This window comes from Homo sapiens, chromosome 15 (assembly GCF_000001405.40).
Source record: "Homo sapiens chromosome 15, GRCh38.p14 Primary Assembly".
NCBI lineage: Eukaryota > Metazoa > Chordata > Mammalia > Primates > Hominidae > Homo > Homo sapiens.
In genome coordinates this window covers 25,145,001-25,160,879 of record NC_000015.10, presented here as the reverse complement: position 1 = coordinate 25,160,879, position 15,879 = coordinate 25,145,001, and the positions used below count along the sequence as shown (strand labels likewise).

Sequence of the window (15,879 nt, the reverse complement as noted above, 5' to 3'; positions counted from 1 at the left end):
TTCTTAAAAGATTATTGGGCATATTAGGAGACAAGGCATATTCTTCCTATTTTATGCAAATAGGACCTCGCCTATTTGCATGAAAACCTCAGAGGAGAAAGAAGAGGTAGCAGATAGTCCAGAAATACTTATATCTGGATATTTTCCTAGTTTAGGATAAAACAGAAAAGGCCTGTAGAAATTGCAGAATACGTTGCTCCAGTATCCAGAAGAAAGGGTAAAAAAGGATTAAAAGATAGGAAACAGAAACAGACACATAAATTTATCCTTTCCCAGCTCTGTTTCCTCATTATATCAGTTTTGCCCATGCTTTGCTCCATTTGCCAATGATTTTCTGTCTGATTTTACAGAGTAGGGAAGACCTCCTCAAGGAGGTTGTAAAGCTTGTCAGGTTTTATCCCTTGCATCTTTCTCAATCTCATCCAAGATTCCTTTTTCTAATGTGTTGACTTTTTACATGAGTGACGTATTAATTTCCCGTTAGCTTGTGCCCTCTTATTTATTGGTGGCCCAAATAAGTATTTGCTCACTTTGTGAATAATTGTAACTGGGCAGCTAACACTGCAGTCTTAAGGGTTTTTTCTTCTCTTTCTCCATATTTTCTCAAAGTTGGGTTACTGCCACTAATATTTGAGAAACTATCTGTTCTTGCTAGCTACCCACTTTTTCTCTTAGTTGTATTTGAATTCCTGGCAACAAAAGTGCCAGAAAAATGGAAAGGACCAAGGATCTATTCTGATCTGTCTGTGAATTTATACCTGTTAATTTAGAAAATGTTTCAGTGAGCTATGGTAAAAATCAATGGAGAAGTCACCCAGCTTGTGAGTACAGCATTTAGCTTCTCCCAGTTCACATTCTGTAGAAAGTTTTCAAGGACTGCTATAAGCAGTCCTTCATGTCGGATTCCCAAGGCATTGAATAGCCTATCTGTCAGGGGAGGTGGAGAATTGGACTCCAAGTCCTCAGCCCTCCTTCATGAGGGGGCTCTCACGTGGTGTTTATTGTGTCTATCAAAGTCAACTGGAGGCAACACTCCATGCAACATCCAGTGGGCATCCCCAGTGTGCAGGGCCAAAGATTGAAAACACACTTCAGAGTGCCTTGGGATATATTTGTGGATATCCTCAGAGCACTGAAAAACAACTCTTAAGACAGCTAATTTCAGCTGGAAAAAAAGGCATATGGATTATTAGTATTTTGGGTCCTGCAAGCAGTCCTGGATAAGTTCTAACAAGCATCTGAGTTGCTGAAATTCCAAAAGGCTAGAGCTGATATTCTTCATGTTGAGATGAAAAATAAGTTGATTTGAGATGATGATACCGACAAATCACAAGATTTCTCAACTTTCAATCAAAGCAAAGCTCAGGTATAAAATTAAGTTCTTCAAGTCTTTATTTTTGCCATTTAGTAGTCTGACTCCATTTTTTATTCCTTTTCTTCCAAATTACTAGGACAACCATTCACTAATCTGATACTTTTATTCTATTACAGTCTCTTATCTAAATTCTCACTGACTGCTTGTTCTTTTCTCTTAATAACTTCTGTTTCCATAGCTATGTTTTGCACAGCCTAGGACACCCCCACATCTCCTCCCAAGAATGGGTCTCAGCATAATACTTATGAGCATAATTTTTATGTCATCAAACCTCCTCATGACCCAAACCATGGCACTAAATATATATATTTATCCTATATATCCTAAATATATATCTATCCTAAATGTGTGTGTATGTGTGTATATATATATATATTTGGTCCTAAAAATTATAACCAGGGATGGCATCCTTAAACCCTTCTGTGAAAGTATATTGGAGTTCATACATATTCAGTGTGGCTTTTCATGTGTCCCTGATGTAAGAGGCCAGAGAGTCTTCTTCTTCCGGTGTTATTTATCTAAGGACAGGAGTAGGGCAGTAGATGAGAACTGTATCTCATGGGTGTTATTCCTAAAAAAGTAAATTAGATATCAGGAAGCTCCTAATTTTATATCTATGGGCAAACAAACAAGTATCTGGATCTCAATCCCCTGGGTACAATTGCCAGGTCCCTTGAATATTCATAGTCCATCAATGATCTACAAATGTCATAACGTACTGCAAACCTGAAATACTATAACAGGGATGAATTTTTTTACTTGCATGCTTAGATCCAAATAAATATTGCACTGTAGAAATTATACCAATGAATCACAAAATTTTCTCAACTTTCAGTCAAGGCAAGCTCAGGTAAAAGGTGAAAATCTTACAAGAATCCCATCACATACATAACTCATGAAGAAGACCCCATAATGATATTCATACTGTCTGAAAGAATGAATCTAAATTCCTTAGAAACAAGTCTTCGCTAGAACCAAGGTCTATTTGAACTTTCTCAGTTACCAAAGGCAAATTTCATTCATGTAATATTGTATATCCTGCCAACCAGATTTACTTCAATACAGTAAAATCACAGGAAAAAATGAGATATAATTTCTAAGAATTATGGCAATGAACCACTAAAATCAGGTTAACATAAAATAAGGAATTGCTCAATTGGAAGGAAACAGAGATGGATGAAAATAAGTTCCCCGCCCACAAATATAATTTCTATTTTAATGGAGTTAAGAATATGTGAATCTAGGTAATATGACATCATAGAGATGATACCAATAATCACAAAATTTCTCATCTTTCAGTCAAAGCAAAGCTCAAGTATAAAATTAAGTTCTTCTCATGATGATCTTATCATCTATGTGGATCACACATGGAGAAGAATCAGTCACAATACTATCCACGTTCCTTGAGAGAATATGTGCATATTTTAAGGTTTACTTATCCTTCAACTCCTCCTGGGCACTTTGTTTTCAATTTTTGCTATTAGATATGGCACCATGATAAGCATTCATGTATACATATTTTGGGTCAATCATGCATGAATTTTTGTTAACCATATACCTGAGAGTATGTTGCCTCCATTCAACTTCAGTGAATACTAAGAGAATTCTAAAAAACACACACTTTCAAATTTTAAACAGATGATCCTTGATTTATGAAGGAGTTACCTCCTAATAAACCTACTATAAGTTAAAAACACTGTAAATAAAAAATGCTTTTAGTACACCTAATGTACTGAACATCATAGCTTTGCCTAGCCTACCTTAAATGTGCTCAGAACACTTACATTAGCCTACAGTGGGTCAAAATGGTGGCAGCACAGTACGCGATGAAGTATTGGTTGTTTACCTTCATAACTGCATGACTGCTAGGAGCTATGGCTCACTGCTGCTGCCTAGCCTCACTAGAGTATCATACTGCCAGTGGCTAGCCCGGGAAATGAAAATTCAAAATCCAAGGTATGGTTTCTACTGAATGCATACCACTTTCACAACATCATAAAGTGGAAAAATCATAAATCAAACCATTATAAATTGGGGACTGTCTAGATATACTGGAAGATGTTTATCTGATTGTTGTCTGAATTATTTTTCTCATGGCTAATGACCTTGAATACCTTTTCATAGGCTTATTGGCCATTCAGATATCCTCTTTTGTGAAGTACCCATTTAAGTGTTTTCTAACTTTTTGACATGTACAAGTTGTATCTTTTATACGATGCTTCTTCACTGATTATATACTTTGAGAAATAAAAATTTTAATTTGGATGCAGACTAATTCATCAATATTTTCCTTTATGCTTAGTGTTATTGGTATTTTTCACTTTCTGCCAAATTATGATGACACCCTCCTATGTTATGCTATGCTCAAGAAGCTTTACTGTTTTGCCTTTCATGAATAGACCAACATTACACCTAGAAATGATGGATCTGTATGGTTTGAAAAGGAATTCACTTTTTTATGTATTGATATCCAGCACTAACTATTGAACAAACCATTCTTTCCTCATCATGCAGGAGTGGCACTTTTATCATAAAGCAAGTAATCATATATCTATTGATCTGCTTGTGGAGTGGAGTCTCTATTTTGCTCCATTAGGCTAGTTTTCTGTCTTTTGTCAGTAACTGTAACCTTGCAATAGTAGGCCTTAAATTTTGGCCATGTAACTCATGCAAAATTGTCATCTTCATCAAGACTATCTTGGCTCTTCTTGACTTTTTGTGTCATATATAATTCTTGAAATTAGATTGAACATTTAATAAATGGCATTCAGATTTAGAATGCTCTTACGTTGGGATCTTTAAGTGAATTTGGGGGAGAATTAACATGTATAGTATATGTAATTGAATTTGCCACTGTGAATATATTATATCCCTCCATTTGTAAGGTATTACTTGCTTCCTTTCCATAATGTTTCATAATATTTTGTGTGAATTTTTTCCTATGGAATTGATGTTTCTGATGTTCCCAAAAATGTTATCTTTTAAAAACTTCATTTTTCATTTGTCATTTTACATAGAAATACATTTTAGTTATCTGCTTTTTAACCCAGCAATCTTGCTCAATTAACTTCCTAATTTTAATTGATCATGTTCAGACTTGTTTCTTGTCAGTAAATAATGAAACTTATACCTTTCCATTTCCAATCCTTATTCTATGACTCTACTCCCCTAGTTAGGACATCCAGTATAGTAATGAATAGAAATGATGAAAAAAAATCCTCTTTTATTCCCAATCTCATAAAAAAGCTTTCTCTATCTCCACTGTCAATAATTTTACAATTAATTTATTTTGTAAATACCCTTTATCTCATTAAATTTTTTTCAATTTTTAGTTCCCATAAATTCGTAGTTCCAATAAAGAGATTTATAAAGAATAGTTTTTATATTTTATCAAATGCTTTTTCTCTTTTGAGATGATCATATAACTTTTCTTCTCTCTTATGTTACCATAGTGATTTACATTGAGTGATTTTGAATTCATTTTTGAAGTAAACATTTGAAGATTTTTTAAAAAGTGAAGCTGAAACAGAGTTCCCAAATACCCTATACCCAGTTTCCCCTCCTGTTAACATCTTGTATTAATATGGCACATTTGTCACACTCAACGAACCAATATTGATAGATTATTATTAACTAAAGCCCACTTTATTCAGATTTCCATAGTTTTACATAATGTACTATTACTCTTCTAGGATCCCATATAGGATGCCATATTCCATTTAGTTGTCTTGTCTATTTAGGCTCTTCTTGACTGTCACACTTTCTCAAGCTTTCCTTTTTGAGGACCTTCACAGTTTTGAGCAAAACTAGTCAAGTATTTTGTAGAGTATATCTCATGTGGGATTTGTTTGATGATTTTTCTCATAATGATACTGATCTTATGGGTTTTTGGGAGGAAGACTGTAGAGGTAAAGTGCAATTTTTATCACGTCATATCAAAGGTATATACTATCAGCATGATTTATCACTACTGATGTTAACCTTGATTACCATGTAGAGATAGTGCTTGTCAGGTTTCTCCCCTGCACAGTTACTCTTCCCTTCCATCCCCCATTTCCACCCTGTACTCTTTGAAAGAAAGTCACCAATGTGCCTAATGACTTTCTTCCCACACTTGACGAGTAAGGAGTTCAACCTCCTTAAGGGCAAAAGTATCTATAAAAACTATATGAAATTATTCTGCACAAAAAATCTATGTTCTCCCCAGTTTATTTATTCATTTGATTATTTACATCAATATGGATTCATGGATATTTTATACTTTGGGTTGTAATCTAATATTATGCTATTTATTTTTAAAAATTTGTTCCAGATTTGACCACTGGAAGCTCTTTTGGTTGGTTCCTGAGTCCCTTTGATATACTTTCATCAATGTGGGGTTCTTGTTTTAGTACTTCCTTACTCTCTGGCACTATATGATGCTCCAGGCTCATCTTGTACATTTCCTAACCAGTCTTAGAATCAGCCATTTCTACAAGGATCCCTGATTTGTTCTATTGGAGAATGGTATTAGAAACTAAGGGCTGGGTTCTAGGTGTGCCCATTGTTACTAGAGTGTCATTGCTTCTAAGCATTCTCAGTTGACACAGGGTGTGTACAATAACTATGTAAATACATGCATCTATATTTCTATGTGTAACCATCTGTCTGCATATTAAACTAAACATAAGTTTACACTGACGTTTCCAACTCTAATCCATTACAACACAAATCATTCTTTTCTTCTTGTCTGTAACTTTTCATTCCAACAATAAGAAAATGTACACCATCTGCCAACCATTTACTTAATTGTTCAATTCCAATATACATATGTATCATGATTTAGAATTGCTAACTCATACACCTACAGAAAACAACTTTATCAAATAGTGTGCAGTGCTCCTGTACAGTCACTTTGCCTCTAGTCTTAACAGATTCCACTCATTTTCAAAGTTACTTAAGTCATTATCTTTTCTCCCCAACATTATTCGTAAGCTTGTCTAATACATTTGTAAAACACCTGGATTCTTTTGTCAGACACTGTGTTCCATCTTGGATCCCCCAAACTCCTAAATGATTTTTTAAAATTTGTGTACATTAAGGTTCATTTGTGCTTTAAAGTTCACTGTGTTTTGACAAACGCACAGTATAATGTATACACTATTACAGTACCATACAGAATAGATTTGCTGTGATTTATCTATTAAATCCCTGCCCCTTCGCCTGAACCCTGCCAACCATTGATATCTATAGTTTTGCCTTGCCCAGAATGTTACAAAAATGAAGAATATTGTATGTATTCTTTTCAGATTGGCTTCTTTTACTCAGCAATATGCATCTATGATTTATCCATGTTTTTGTGTGGCTTGATGGGTTAATCCTTTTTATTGCTTGATAGTATTCTATTGTATAAATGTATCACAGTTTATCCATCCACCTATTGAATGATATTTTAGTTAATTTCAGGTTTTGGTCATTATGAATAAAGCTGTAATATTCATGTGCTGGCATTTATGTGGACGTAAGTTTTCAGATTAGTTGGGTAAATACCAAGGAGCGTAGTGGCTAGATATATGGCAGGACAACATTTAGCTTTCTAAGAAACTGCCAAACTGTCTTCAAAAGTGGCTGTGCTATTTTGCATTTCCATCACCAATTAATGTTGCTTGCCTTTTCAACAGAAGTTGGCATGATCAGGCTTTGGATGGATTTTAGCCATTCTATTACATGGGAATACATGTGTACTGTGTGTAGTGTATATGTGTACTGTGTACATGTATATGAGTACATGTGTAGTGGTATTTTATTATTTTTTATCTCCAGTGACAGAAAATGTTAAGCATCTTTACATAAGTGTATTTATCATTTGTATTTGTTTTTGTTTTTTGGTATGGTGTCTGTTCAGATCTTTTGCCTATTTTTTAATTGGTCATTTGTTTTCTTATTGCTGAGTTTTAAGAGTTCTCTATACAGTTGACTAGAATACCTTTATTAGATATGTACTTTGAAAATATTTTCCCCCAATCTGTGGCTTATCTTTTAATTAAGTGCCTTTTTCCAAACAGAACTTATATTTTAAAAGCTTACCATTTTTTTCCCTTCATGGTCTGTGTCTTTGGTGTTCCCCATCACAAAACCCAAGATCAAATACATTTTCTCTTGTATTCTTTTAGAATTATTAACACTTTGCATTTCATATTTAGTTCTATGGTCTATTTTGAGTTAATTTTTGTGAAATATCTAAAACCTATGTCTAGGTTCACTTTTTCACATACAGACATCTCCTTGTTGCAGCACCATTAACTGAAAAGACTATTCTTTTATGCATTGGATTGTCTTTGTTCCCTGACACAGGTCAGTTAATTATATTTGTGTGGTGTCTATTTCTGGGCTCTCTATTCTGTACTATTAACTTATGTATCTGTTCTTTTGCCAGTACCACAAAGTCTTGATTACTGCAGCTTCTAGTAAAAGTCTTAAAATCAGGTAGTATTTCTCCTCTGTCTTTGTGCTTCTTCAGTGTTATGTTGGTTATTCTTTGTCAACATCTACAAAATAGCCTGCTGGGATTTTGAATAGAATTGAATTGAGTCTATAAAGTTAGGAAGAACTGACATTTTTATAATATTGAGTCTTCTATCTATGGATACAGGATATATCTGTTCATTTATTTTGATCTTCTTTGATTTCTCTTATCAAAGTTTTATAGTCTTCTACATATAGACATATAGATCCTGAACCTGTTTTTCTTTAGGTTTATAAGTAAGGGTTTTATTTGCTTTTGTTATGGTGCTATTATAGTTTTTTTCTAATTTCAATAGACTATTACTGGTTTATAGGTAAGCAATTGGTTTTTGTATATCAACCTTATATCCTTTAACTTTGTTATACTCACTTATTAGCTCCAAGTTTTTCTTTTGTGGATTCTTTGGGATTTTCTCCATGTCATCCTTGAGTAAAGACTGTTTTATTTCTTCCATCACAATCTGTATGCCTCATTCCCTTTTCTTGTCTTGTTGCACTAGCTAAGACTTCCAGTATGATGTTGCATAGAATTGGAGGACATCCTCGCCTTGCTCCTGAAATTAACATACAGTCTCTTACATTTCAGTATGATATTAGCTATGGGGTTTTTTGTAGAATTTTTTCATCAAGTTGAGGAAATTTCCTTGTATTCCTAGATTGCTGAGATTTTAAAAATCATGAATATTCAATTTTGTGAAATGCTTTTACTGCATCTATTGATATAATAATATAATTTTTCTTCTGTAGGCTATTGATACGGTCTACTACATTGGCTGAATTTTGAATGTTCAAAGAGCCTTGCATACCTGGAATAAATCCCATAATGTACATAATGGTACTAATTTTTTCTATACATTGTTGAATTCGATTTGATAATATTTTGTCAAGGAGTTTTACGTCAATCTTCATGAGAGATATTGGTCTGTAGTTTTTCTTTCTTTTAATGTTTTTATCTGGTTATTATGTTAGGGTAATGATGGTGTGATGTAATGAGTTGGGAAGTCTTCCCTCTGTTTCTATTTTCTGGAAGTAATGGTGGAGAACTGGTATTGCATCTTCCTTAAATGTTTAGTAAAAATCACTAGTAAAACTCTCTGGGCATGGTGCTATTTTGGGGGAAGGTTAATTATTATTTCAATTTCATTAATAGATATATTGCTATTCAGGTTACCTATTTTTCCTTTTGGAGGTTGTGGTAGTTTACTTCAAGGTATTGGTCCATTTCATTTATCAAATCTGGAGGCATAGAGTTGTTCTTAGTATTCTGTTATCCTTTTCACGTCCATGGGATCAATACTGATGTCCCCTCCTTTACTCCTGATATTGGTCATTTGTCTTTTTTCTTTTCTTTGCTTAGCCTGACTAGAAGTTTAGCAATGTTACCAATCTTTTAAACAAATCAACTTTTGGTTTTCTTGGTTTTCCATACTGTTTTTCTGTTTTAAATTTCATTGATTTTTATTCTTTTATTATTTCTTGTCTTCTGTTTGCTTAAGGTTCTTCTGTTTGCTTAAACTGTTCTGTATTTTTCTAAGGTGGAAGGTCAGATTGATTATTGGTCTTTTTCTTTTTAATGTATTTAATGCTAAAAATTTCCTTGCAAGCACTACTTTAGCTGCATCCCACAAATTGTAACCAGTATTGTCCAGCTGGAATTAGTTCAAAATAATTTTTAATTTCTCTAATGACTTGTTCTTTGATGTGTCTATTATATACAAGTTTGTTGTTTAGTTTCCAAATATTTGGAGATTTCCCAGCTATGTCTTTCTTTATTGGTTTCTAGTTTTATTACATTGTGACCTGAGTACTTAGTATGATTTATAATCTTTTAAATTTGTTTTATGGCACATAATATGATGTTTTCATGAATATTTCATGTAAACTTTGGAATAATGTATATTCATGTAAATTCTTCTGTTGTTGGAGTACTCTATAAACATCAAACAACTTAACTGATAATGCTGTTCAGGTTATCAATATTCTTATTTATGTCTATGCCAGAGGGATGTTGGAACCTCTGACTATAAATAGGGTTTATCTATTTCTTTTTTCAGTTTTATCAACTTTTACCTCATGTATATCTTGACACTGTTAATAGGTGCATACACGTTTAGATATTCTTGTAGAATTGGCCCTTTCTCACTATGTATTGCCACTTTTCATGCCTGGTAACCTTCCTTGTTCTGAATTCTGCTGTGTCTGAAAATCAATATAGCTACTCCAGCTGTCTTTTGATTACTGTAAGCATGTTATATCTTTCTCCATCCCTTTACTTTCAGAGTATCCAAATCTTTAATTTTAAAGTAGGCTTCTTGTAGCCATTTAGTTTGGTCTTGTCTTAGTCCATTCTGAGAGTTTCTGTTTTTCAATGTAGATAATTCACATCTGAAGTGATTATTTATACAGTTGGATCAATATATTCCATGTTTGCAACTGCTTTCTAGTCATTGCATTACTATTTCTTTAAGACCTCTATTTTACTGTGTTCTCTACTTTTACTTGATCATGTTACATGATTCCATTTTATCTCCTTTCTTAGCATATCAATTATCTTTTCTTATTTGTTTAACTGGTTGAGCTAGAACTTACAATATACATTTCTGTTTGTTTGTTTGTTTTGAGACAGGGTCTTGCTGTATCACCCAGGCTGGAGTACAGGGGTGCAATCTCGGCTCACTGCAACCTCTGCCTCCCGGGCTCAAGCAACTTTCCCACCTCAGCCTCCCAAGTAGCTGGAACTACAGATGTGTGCCACCACACCTGGCTAATTTTTGTATTGTTAGTTAAGACTGGGTTTTGCTATGTCACCCTGGCTACAATATACATTTTTAACTAATCTAAACCCATCTTCAAATTACACCATACCACTTCACGCTTAGTGCAGGTGCCTTATAACAGAGGATTTCCATTTTTTTTCCTATCTCTGGTGGCATTGCTGCCATTGTTTTCACACATCCATATGCCATAATTGACTACCACATTACTACTTTCGGATTTTTTTTCCTGATGAGAAGACGAGGATGTTTTATCTACCTTCTTTAAAGATTTCTTTTTCTGTGTTTGTCTTTCCGCAGGTTGAATATGATATTTGTAGGTTTTATTGTTTTTGTTTTTGCTTTTTTTGCATTTTTACTGTTTTGTGTTCTCTGAGATTTCTGGGCCTGTGGTTTGGTGTCTGTTATTAATTTTGAAAAATTCTTGGCCATTTTTACTTCAAACATATATTATGCTCTATACTCCATTCTTTTAGTATCCCCATTACATCTATGTTGCACCTTTAAAAATTGTTCCACAGTTCTTGGATGTTCTGTCCCATTTTCTTCATTCTTTTCTTTTTCTGTATTTGCATTTTAGTTTGCAAAATTTCTATTGACCTAACTTCAAGATCACTGAATCTTTCCTCGGCTGTGCTGAATCTACTTACGAGCCTGTTGAAGGCATTCTTCATTTATGTTATAGTGTTTTTTATTTCTAGCATTTCCTCTTGCTTCTTTTGAGTTTCCATCTCTCTGCTTATATAATCTATTTTTGCATGTCTAAGAGTCCTTAACATATTAATCATAGTTATTTTAAATCTCTATTATTAATTCCAACATCTTTGTTCTGAGTCTGGTTCTGCTAATTGCTTTCTCTCTTCAGACTGTTTTTTCTTGTCATAGGATGTGCATTGTAATTTTTTGTTGAACTGTATCTGGTAGTAAGTACTGAGGTAAATGGAGCTTTAGAATGCTATTTACAGAAATCTGATGAGGAATTGGGCTTTGTTTAATGTTTGCTGTTACTAGAGGCACCAGAAATGCCAAATTCCTCTAGTGTCTTTTGTTTCTGCTCTTGACTTTGGACTTCCCTAAGTACTCCTCTGAGAGAATTGGTGTCTTACAGCTATTTCAACTGTAATCTACTATTACACAGAACACTGCTGGTGGGGTCGTAAGACATAGGGGAGAGTGTTCTATGATCTTTTGAATAAGTCTCTGTGTGCCTGTGTCTTGGTGTTACAACCATCACAAACATTCCTTCAGTGGCAGAACCTCTCCCTCAACTCCACCTGACCTCTCTACTCTTTTCCCTCCTTCTTTTGCTTCCAATCTATTTCCTTGAAGTGCTGATCTCTATTGACAATTGTGGGTTTTTTATTTCCTGATTGGTAAAACAGGAAAGCTAGAGAAGGCTGAAATGAAAGGAATGCCCTTCCCCTTATCCCTTACTGAGATATGGCTCAGATAAAATTTTTCCCCTGGAGGTTAGGTCTTTGTTATGAAGAATGCTCTGGGTGTATTTCACAATGATTACTCTTCTCTCCCTTTCCAAAGGAGGAGGGGATCTTTCTTAAATCTTTACCATGAGAAATTGTTGAGGTTCTGGAGGTAGAACCCACAAAAATGTGGGGGTTCCCAGGAGTTTCTTCCTTTCACTCTAGCCCACATTCAGCCCAGCTATTCATCTAAATTGCTATTTAAATGTTCCTATCAATTTGTGGCTCCAGTGGCTTCTGTTCCAGCTAAGCAAATTTCAGCTGTGTATCAATCGGTGTCCCCAGACTTTGGGGTGGCAACTTTCCCTGAAGCCTCAGTTCTCTGATGGGTTAAAGGAAATAATTGATTTTTTTTTCAATTTGTTCTGCTTTATCTTGTTATAAGGACAGTAATTATAACTTACAAGTTCCTCACATATCAGAGCTGAAACCAGAAGTGTTGAATGATTTTTTGAATGTTTAAAAAAAAAATCTTCATTTCTCAAGTAAACCCCAAATGATTATAATGCAGTGACCTTTTAAAAAAATATTTTGGCTGGGTGCGGTGGCTCATGCCTATAATCCCAGCACTTTGGGAGGCCGAGGCAGGTGGATCACCTGAGGTCGGGAGTTCAAGACCAGCCTGGCCAGCATGGCAAAACCCTGTCTCTACTAAAAATACAAAAATTAAACTGGCATGGTGGCAAGTGCCTGTAATCCCAGCTACTAGTGGGGCTGAGGCAGGAGGATCACTTGAACCTGGGATGTGGAGGTTGTAAGGTTGTAGTGAGCAGAGATCGTGCCACTGCACTCCAACATGGGCAAGAGAGCAAGACTCCATCTCAAAAAAAAAAAAATTCACATAATTTGATTTACTATTATTGTGTTCAGGCTACTTGGATCTATATTCCTAGTAGCCATGTTCTGTAAATTCAATTTTTATAGTTCTTTGTCATGTTTAGTTACTAGAAGTCAGCTATCCTGAGAAAATGAAAATTATACATTTTTCCCTTAAATATTTGTAAAAATTTACTAGTGGAACATTTCAGCATGGAGCATTGTTGTTTGGGAATATTTTAATTATGTGTTCAGTGTCTTTAACAGATGTAAAGCTATATTTTATATTTCTTTTTGTGGCTTTTGCATTAACTGTGTTTTTAAGGGATTTTATCATTTAATCAGTATTTTTTAAATGATTGGTAAAAAGTTACTTTTCAAGTATTCTTTATGGTCTTAAAATTTTAAATAAGGAAAAAATTGCAATCACCTACAAAGGCAAATAGAGTACCTAGATTACCATGTATAGTGTTCTGTGTTCAGACTTATGGTCTGTGCTTTGGTCATGAGAATGAAAAATATCACCCTTGCCTAAAGGCATCATCACATGTACAAAAGAAGCTGAAAATCTTATTATCCCCTAAAGAACAGGATATCCTCACCCCATACTCAGGAAGCTGCAAAATTGGTCAAAATGAGTTTTCACTTAAATGTCCACATCAGCAAGCACTGCTTGTACTGGTCTGCTCTCTAATCCTTCCAATCATTTCCACTTGGCTTTGATCAAATCAACCCCATCTGACCAACTCCATTTGCTTCCATCTAACCCAGCTATACTGTTTATTATAAATTTAACCTAAATGCCACCCTTCCTCAAAATTTTATATAATTTTGCCTTTCTCTTTGAGAAGCAAGAAGTTGAAATTTCTCTTGCAGTTTCTCCCTTTCCAGAGCAATTCTTTTGAAGTATAAACTTTTACTTCAAAGAACTGGAAGGCAATTTAGCTCTTTCTTTTCAGGTTTAAAGTCAGTTTTTATTGCCTTCAAAGTCAGAGAATTGGTGTTGGAGCAGTAAAAGACAAAGACAAAAATCTCTACAGTCAGCATGTTTACATTCTAGTGCAAGGAGATGGATAATCATTTAAAATATTAAATAATATTTTATATTACATGATCAGTGTTGAAAATAGTGGAAAGGGGTAAAGAGCAACATTGTAGTGATATTGATACTTAGAGAAGTGTACCAGGTTAGCCTAGTTGACAACTGATGATGGCAGAGGAGTAAGCAGAGAGAGAGAGACGGTGGAAAAATGCTTGGGGCCAAGAGAGAATCTGGTGCAGAAGCTGGCCCAGTGGTTCCAGAACAGCAAGTAGTAGCTAAGAGGTAAGAGGTGACAGAAAGTGGCTTGACCAGGTCCAGTTTTGTGGGCCATTCTACGGACATTTATTATAAACAAATTGTAAACTATTGAAGGATTTGCACAGAGGGGAAATGTTAACTGACACTGTGAGAAACAAAATCATGTACACTCTCATGGCTAATTGCCTCCAATTTAAATTTTCCACTATTTTCACTGGCACTATTTTCACTTTACTATTCCAGTAAATTCTTGCTCAGAAAAATAAAAGTTGTGAATAATGTTTATTATTTATTACAAGAACTTCCTTAGAAACTTATTAACTCATCAGTAGAAAACATCAGACAATAGCTTATATTCTAAGAGTTTTTGAATCCCTCACCTCCAAATCTTTACTTTGCTGTGTCCACCAACAGTAAACTCTTTTATCATAATCCTCGCCAAATCCTAATCAAGCCCTGGCATTTAAAGACCCATCTTAAATGAGCCTTTAAAGTCTCATAAATATTCTAACTTTGTCCTTCCTTGTCCAAAATGTTATTAATATCTATTAGGGGATTGCTTTCTCTTACCACATTAAGAATAAACTCAGCTTTGCCTTATCAAAATATTCTTCAGGTTGTATTTCTAGGAATTCAGTATTGAACAATCTTGGAGATCTCACCAAGATCCATAAAGATTGAGACCTCTTTGCAGCCTAGGCACAAGAACCTTAATTCAGAACCTTAATTCATTGTCCTCCTCAGATATCCTTTTAGCTTCCTGGTCAGGACTATCTCTTAGTGCAACAGTGTATTAAGTAAATCAAATTGGACTGAGCCCCAGTATATTTTCATTGAACTCCCAGTATACTGAGATTATTTTGTCTCCTAAGGGTAAGGAACTCTTTTCAGGAACACTTTGATCAGACTTGAAAAAAATTTATCTTTGGTGAAACTGCCTTATTACTAGTGATGCTACTCTTCGCCTTTGTCTTTGCCACTTCATGTGTATATATAAGGAATGTTCATAGGGAAGAGAGTGAGAGAGACCCAGGTAAGTGGATCCCTCAAGACAGCCCCAGGGATGGAGAAGTTTGTAAGATTTCTTCTCAGCCTGCTGTCCTTTGGAGAAATTTTTCCCTAGGTCCTTATCAAAACCTATGACAATTTTCCTCAATCTTGTCTTGATCATCAGTCTGGTTCTAAGAGAAATCCCCTATTAACATCTTATGTACCCCCAAGAAACTGCAAATTCCTTCAGGTCTACAGTTAGACAATGTAGAAATCAGGTTGAGAGACCCAAGGGGTCATAAGCAACATTTTTTTCAGAGTTTTACCACACTTTCAGGGTATGCCTCCAGTCTCATTCTAATTCCAAACGCCCTCTGGACTTCTTCTTCCATATGTTTATAAGATAATCCACATTCATATACTTATTTAAATGGCATAATTTCAACAGAGATGAGTTACAATTATAGCAGCCACTTTGGGGGAAGTTTTTCTATGAACAAAATTTTTTAAGAGTACATTAAAATAAAAATAGATCAAAATTTCAAACATCCAGTAGTCTACATTTTTAATTAATCTGAGAAACATCCAAAGGCAATTCAGATTTCAAAACTGCTTTCTTATGAAATTTGTTAGCCAGGG

At 34.7% G+C, this 15,879-nt stretch overlaps 1 long non-coding RNA gene and 1 pseudogene across 1 annotated transcript in view; both read right to left on the bottom strand.

Annotated features, from left to right (window-relative positions):
• Positions 1-15,879, bottom strand: part of SNHG14 (small nucleolar RNA host gene 14) — a 595,855-nt gene that overhangs the window by 258,583 nt on the left and 321,393 nt on the right. The gene's annotated exons all lie outside the window — the stretch shown is intronic.
• On the bottom strand, positions 1,601-1,659 carry LOC124903592 (uncharacterized; annotated as a pseudogene).